This window comes from Homo sapiens, chromosome 15 (assembly GCF_000001405.40).
Source record: "Homo sapiens chromosome 15, GRCh38.p14 Primary Assembly".
In the NCBI taxonomy this organism is placed as follows: Eukaryota; Metazoa; Chordata; class Mammalia; order Primates; family Hominidae; genus Homo; species Homo sapiens.
Genome location: NC_000015.10, coordinates 91,741,986 through 91,749,726, shown reverse-complemented (window position 1 = coordinate 91,749,726; position 7,741 = coordinate 91,741,986). Strand labels below are relative to the sequence as shown.

The window sequence follows — 7,741 nt, the reverse complement described above, 5'->3', positions numbered from 1 at the left end:
CACCTGCACCTCTACCACCTCCACCTCCACCTCTACCACCTCCACCTCCACCTCCATCTCCATCTCCAACACCTCCATCTCCATCTCCATCTCCACCACCTCCACCTCCATCTCCACCTCCACTGCCCCCACCACCACCTCCATCTCTACCACTACCTCTACCACCTCCACCACCACCACCTCCACCTCCACCTCCACCGCCCCCACCACCACCTCCATCTCCACCACTACCTCTACCACCTCCACCACCACCACCTCCACCTCCACCACCTCCACCTCCACCTCCATCTCCAACACCTCCATCTCCATCTCCATCTCCACCACCTCCACCTCCATCTCCACCTCCACTGCTCCCACCACCACCTCCACCTCCACCACCACCTCTACCACCTCCACCACCACCTCCACCTCTACCACCTCCACCTCCACCTCCACCTCTACCACCTCCACCTCCACCTCCATCTCCATTTCCAACACCTGCATCTCCATCTCCATCTCCACCACCTCCACCTCCATCTCCATTTCCAACACCTCCATCTCCATCTCCATCTCCACCACCTCCACCTCCACTTCCACCTCCACCTTCATCTTCATCACATCCATCTCCATCAATTCCATCACCACCACCACCATCACCATTTCCACTTCCAGTACCACCAAGTCCACCACCACCACAGCAACTGTCACCACCATCACTGCTGACATTATTGCCACCACAACCACCATTGCCACACCACCCCTCCCCCAGGACTAAAATCTCCACTGCCACCCTGTACTTGCTACCACCCTACCATCTCTGCTGCCACCACCACCACAACCACTGGCATTATTGCCGCCATTCCTGCTGCCACAGCCACCACCACAACCACCATTGCTTATACGACTATCAGTCTCCACCATGACTACTACAACCTCTGCTGCTGCCACTGCCACCACCACTACCACTTCTGCCACTATTTGTGATGTATTACTTGTGTCAAACAGAGTGTCAAATACTGCATGTGTAATATTTTATTTAATCTTCACAATAATCTTTGGAGGTAAATACTATTATTATCTTTATTTTACAAGTGAGGAAACAGAGGCTCAGGAAGGTTAAGTAGCTTCCCTAAGGATGCAAAGCTGCAGTTGCATTCTACTCTTATTCATTGAAAATAAAGTAATGGAAGTGTTCTTCTTTGAAGAATCCTCATTTCAACAGCGTTTTTCATGAGATTCTCATGACAAAGATATTCCTCCTTCTCATGGTTTATCCTCTTAAAGATATTCTTAATTATTTAATAAATAGAAAATACATAGTGAATAAAAAATTTCCAAAATGGTCTGTAATCTCTCCAAATCCTGATCTCAAGAGGGGAACCAACGGAGGGAGAGTGAGTAGGAGGTACCCCAATCTTCTGGAGGTGGGGTCTCTTGTCTCCTGGTGGTGGCTCCATTGTGAACTTCCTGAACTACTTCCTTACTCCCTGGTGACAATGGTTTTACACTCCTTGGCTAAACCACCGCATCAATGAGGTAGGTGAGTTTTGGGAAATCTTTGTGTTTAGTTAAGAAACTAAACAGGAAGAAATGATCCCCAGTTTCAGTGCACTCATCAAACCTCCTTCGTGAGTTGCTGCTTTGTGATTTCTCCTTCCGCTATAATAGCATCATCCTCCCTGATCCCCAGCCACAGCCCTGGAAGTTGTCTTTTATCTTTCTTTCTCCTAATTCTACGTGCTTTTGATTAATATGGAAACAATCGCCCCACCCACCAGCGAAAGGGCCTGGACTTTGAATGGATTTTGTTTTGTTTTTCCCTGGCTGGTATCTGTATTCTCTTGCCTAAGCCCTTAAGGATATTAGTGTTGACAATAAAACTGGCAGGCTTGGAAGTATAATTTCTGTATGTCGAATGGGATGTTTGGAAGTCAGAGGTACTGGAAAGCGTAAGTTTTCCCTCAGAGTTAAAAGAGGCTGAGGATAGAATATTGATTTCCAGTGAATGCCCCTCGAGCTCTGGTATTTCATGAATACTCCAAGATAAAAGTCAAGTGCCTAAAGCACTTCTGCTACACACTGAAGCACCACGGTTTTCCAGAGGAAAAGCACTTGTGTAGTTGTCTGAATTGCAAGCTGAAATATCAGCATTTTAGTATTTTAAGGAAACACTATTTTTATCTGGAACAATGACTAATAGACCAATTCTAGTTATGCAGATTTGGATATTCTAAAGACATTTTCTTAAAAATATATAAAGTGGGTCTATCGCTAACAACTGACAATTTTTGTTGCCAATGATAAAATTTAACATTTCAAGTGAAAGTTAGACTTTTGGAAAATTTGTATTTGCCACTGCAAGCTTGGCAGCTTCCCAATAATTGCTTTTCTAATGAGATTGGTGGTGGTATTAATAAATGTAATTTTTATATTGTATAATGAAATATGACATTTAGAAGATCTGTATAACTCAGTGAATTAATATTTTCTAAGTGATCACTGCATGACATTACAAAAGCATGCATGAGTTAAATGTCTGTTCAGAGTGCAAAGTGAACTGACAGATTTTAATGTAACCATGTATGAAAGAAGTTCACTGATAATGTTTCAATTTGGTATTTCAGCTCATCTTTAAGAAATTACCACTTGTTGAATTTTGGTGTACTAGTAAAGGAGGATATCCATAATTATTTTTTTTGAGACGGAGTCTCACTCTGTAGTCCAGGCTGGAGTGCAGTGGCACAATCTTGGCTCACTGCAAGCTCCGCCTCCCGGGTTCATGCCATTCTCCTGCCTCAGTCTCCTAAGTAGCTGGGACTACAGGTGCCTGCCACCACGCCCGGCTAATTTTTTGTTTTTTAGTAGAGACGGGGTTTCACCATGTTAGCCAGGATGGTCTTGATCTCCTGACCTCGTGATCCACCTGCCTCAGCCTCCCAAAGTGCTGGGATTACAGGCATGAGCCACCGCACCCGGCCAATATCCATAATTATTAAAAAAGGTTATTAAAATCTCTTTATTTTCCAACTACATAATTGTATAATGACAGTTTTCTTTATATACTTCAAACAAACCAACAGCTTGCAGCAGGTTGAAAGCAGAATCACGTTTTAGAATCTAGTTATCATCTTTAGACATTAAAGATATTTTTTAAAAACACAAAACAATGCCATTTTTCTAACTAAAAAGGCTTTAATTTTGGAAATGTATTTCCAAAATTCATTGCCAAGTACATTAAGGTAATAAATATATCTCCATTTATTAAGGTAACAACAAACCCACTGCATGTCAACAAAAATACCATGCATTTGTATTTTCATTGTATTTGTATACAAATGCATGTATTTTTATACAAATGCATGGTATTTTCATGCAAATGCATGTACCTTTATACAAAAGCATGATATTTTCATACAAATGCATGTATTTTTATACAAAAATGCATGGTATTTGCATACAAATGCATGGTGATTTTGCTAACATGTAATGGGTTTGTTATTACCTTAATAAATTGCTAAGTAGATATATTTTAGCCTTTCACAGTTTTAACTCAGATGAAAAAATATTGATAGATATAACCTATGTAAACAACAGCTCTCTGAAGTCATAAATCAATTTTAATAATGTAAAGGTATCTGAAGCCAAGATTTAAGCTGCTACTGTATCACACAGGGACATCGATAAAGAAGGGCTTTCCTTTTTATTTTGGTATGTATAAAACACTGACTGAATGCATACTGTGGACAAAGAACCATATTAAATCATAAATCTCCTGTTCTACAAAGAGAAATATGACAAAGTCCTGGTCAAGGGAGTTACAGTTTGATAGGATAGATGAACAAATATTAAATAATACAAATGAATTAACATATCTTTCAGCAAATTTTTTTTAATGTGTAAGATCCTGTGCTGAGAAAGGGGCCTACAATGAAGAACCTGATAGGCATATTCTAACATGTATTAGTCATTTAATTATTGAATCACATTGCTGGTAAGTGGGTCCAAGACAGAGTTCTCAAGCAGCTAATCAAGGAAGTGGTTAATCAGTTAATAGCTGATGATCAGTTAATCAGGGAAGCTATCCAAGAAGCTGTTATGTTTCACTGAGATCTCCATGAAGAGTAGGAGTTAGCCTGGAGAAGGGATGAGAGAAGAAAGAAAAAAGTGTTTCCAATAGAACAGACAGTGCATAAAATGGACCTAACCAGAAAGACACTTTCTCCCTTGTGGTACTTAATGAAAGTTACTGTGGTTGTAGAAGAGGAAATCAGCCTCTCTGCGATCAACAGATGTTCTTGGCTCAGCATATCAGAATATCAGCCAAAGAGATCCTTAATGTTTTGTTGCCCTGGGCAAATACTGTGTCTCCCTTGTACAGTTTCACTATTTTACTTTCCTGGATAAATATGGGGGAAATATTACACTCTCTTATGGATTCTAGACACTTTATAGGACAAATAGTTCCTTCAAACAAATGTTGTCAGTGCCTCTACATAAATACCCTTTTGAAGTTTGATAGCTTATGACAAGGCTTACTTTTTCTTCTCTGGTGAGCAACGCAGTGCCCCTTCTTCTCTACCTGAGCATCCTGAGGCCTTCTCTCCCTTTGCTGGATACAGGGCAATTCTTGGAAACAGGATTTGTTGCGCTCAGATCTAAAATAAAGCCTGTCAGGTGGATGTGTTAAGAATTGGGCTTGAAGTGGTCCTCGGCCCATGGCTAGTGAGAAGTCTTCTTTCTTCCTACCTTTCTTATGAAAGGCAAAGCCTTGTTTTCAAATTCTGAATCTGTGGGGTTTCCTCCCCTATAGCATAAGGCTACCAAACTCAAGGGGAAGGGGAGGATAAGGGTGATGAGAAAGAAAGAGGTTATATTGCTCAGGGTCCTGTAATTTTGGTGATTTTTACATTTTATTTTAAAAATCAATAGAGAAACTATTGAAAGATTTAAGGTTTGAAAAACGTAGAGTCGAATTAGTGTTTTCAAAATGATAAATTTGGCTAGAGAGAAGATGACAGCAGGAAGGCAGTCTTCTGTGGATACAAAAACAAACAAACAAAAAAACAAAAAAACCCAAAAACAATTCAAGCCTATTGCAGTGATCCAGGTGAGAGACGAAGACTTCACCCAGTGGAGTGTCCATGAGTATGGAGCAGTGTGGAAAGATTTGAAAGATATTTTGTAAGGAGAAGCAATAGGCCTTGATAAAGTATTGGATATATGTGGTATGTTGGATAGGGAGGTGTTAAACCAGGTTTCTAGATAATGCAATGGCATAGATAGGAGTGTCACTCACTGACATAGGAAACAGAAAGAGGACTGGGTATGGAGCAGGGTCCTTGAGTTCTGATTTAAATATACTGAGTTTGAATTGCCAGTGAGTGATCATGGTGGATATGCTAAATAGGCAACTGGATACATAGGTTTAGCATTCATAGGAGAAGTCTGGGATATGCCATATATGTTTGGGAGTTATCAATATATAGATTGTAACTGAAGCAATGGGAGTGGAAAAGCTTGACTAGGAAGAGTATAGAGTGGGAAAGGAAGAGGGCTAGAGGAAAATGTATAGAGTAAATTCTGAGCATAGAGTAAGCTGAACACTGAAGTATATAGTTGTAGGAATGCAAATTGACACATTATTGCTATAACACAGGAAGGGTTGCTTGAAGAAAAAATATTTTTCTAAAATAAGCAATATGTGATTATTGCAGAAACCTAAGGGAATGAAGAAGAAGAATTAAAAAAAAAAAAAAAGAACACATGGGAGCCAAAGAAGACTTGCCCACAGGAAAGTCTTTCTTTGTGATTATTCAAGAGACACAGGTCAATGTCTGGATGGAATCTTTTGATGAGGACCTTGCATGACCCAGTGGATTTTTGGCTCAGGAACACAAGCTTTGTCAGGATTTAGTTCACAGCAACAAAAAGGAACAGAAATTTTGTCCCATTTTCCAGCACATACAGTCAGCTCAGTCTCAGTGTAGCCCCTCAGAATTGTTTGCCCAGCAGATAGTGACCCTTGTTCACCATGTTGTGGAGCATCACTTTCACTCCTCAGGATGACATTGTATGAATGCTTTACTAAATACCTAAACCGAGCAGGATGCAGCTAAAAACAAGAAAAGCCCAGAGATACACAGGAGGTTAGACATTTCCCTCAACACATTCAAAAAGCATGGCCTGGCTCATGATGAAATGAGAATTCCCCAGCAACTTGGCTTCAAGGCCAGAGGAAAATAAAAAGAAGATCCCATTGATCTTCACCTTGATATTGAACATGGTAAAAAACATAAGGAGAAAGAGCTTAAAAGAGGTAAATCAAGAGAATCAGTGGATTTCCGAGACTCAAGCCACTTAAGGGAAAGATCAGCTGAGAAAACAGAGAAAACTCAAGGGATCAAACTGGAAAAGCTGTCAGAACACAGACTGGCCCAGGTCATCATCCCCTTCCTCCCAGGCATCTCACTCTTGCAAAGCAGAAGTGTGCACTGAAGAAACAGAGGAGGGAAAGAAGAGCACCTGGGCTTTGAAAAATTGAGACTGGGGACCAAAACTTTGTGGGTCCAAGAGAAAGAGGAGCAGCAGAGCTCGAGGGGCCTTCCCATTTCCAGCCAGGGGGAGTGGCTTGGGAAGAGTCAGTTACTCTGGAATGACAGTAGCAACAATGATTTTCAAAAGAGAAACCAGGACTAGCAGTGGAACCCAGAGTATACACTCAAAAGCAAGAAGTGTTACTCACACAATGACTGTGAAGTTGAAGGCAGAGAGAAGTGGGTGAGCCAGAGCCAGGGCCAAGGCTGGGGAGGTTCATGTTTCAGAAGTCTAGCCCCAGCCCCAGAAGGGCCCATGACAAGTTCAGTGGGGAGGAAGGGGAGACTGAAGATAATGAGAGTGGGACAGAGAACCTAGGATAACTTATAGCCCACAACTCAGTGGGGGCTGCTTTTGACAGGAGCCCTTGCCTAGGGGAGAGAAGTGCTAGGAAGATGGCGGGTGAGGAGCTAACAGAGGAGCCTCAAGGAGACTCTGAAGATCTTATGCTCAACCCCACCTGCCTTGCGGAATCCTACTACAGCCGAAAGTATCCCACGTGCTGCATCCCACTGGACAGGAGAGGCCGGCCACAGAGCCTGGGGTGAAGCTCTGCTCTTCAACAGAACAAAACACACTGGGCTTTAGCTGAGTTTCTCATTTCTTCTCTATGTGAAGGGTAGAGACTAGGGCAGGAAGGGAAACTGATGTTTAGATTTCGGGTTATTTCCTATTAGAAACCAATAATTCTGTGCTTAATTTCATTTCATCTGGAGCTAAAAGGATTAATTTGATGATTTTTAATCTCATTCCCATCTTGATTTTAAAAGCACCCGCCACCTCACCCCACTTTTTAGGCATGTGTAGTCACATTAGAAGAAATATTTAATTTGGGCAACTTGAGTCTTTGTGAAAAAAACAATGTGAATAAACAATGGGAATGAAAGCATGTGAATAAGCATTGAAGCGTTCACCTCAGTTTGGAGCCAAACTGCTGGAATCCTTGTGAAAGCCAGTGTCGGTATGTCAGCGGGGAGTTAAGGTCTTTCTGACTACCTCGTGTTCCCCTTTCTCACACAGCCACGTCTCCTGTGGAGCAGCTCCCGACCACACCCCAGTCCCATATTTTCTGATTTCTCCTGGGCTGGGCTTCCCATTCTCCACCTGCATCTCCACTGTCCCAGACTTTCTAGTCTGGAAACTTGAAGGCAGTTTCTGGTCTATTTTC

General features: G+C 41.8%; 1 pseudogene; it reads left to right on the top strand.

Moving 5' to 3' along the window:
• On the top strand, positions 5,741-7,113 carry THRAP3P2 (THRAP3 pseudogene 2; annotated as a pseudogene).
• The last annotated feature ends 628 nt before the right edge of the window (positions 7,114-7,741 follow it).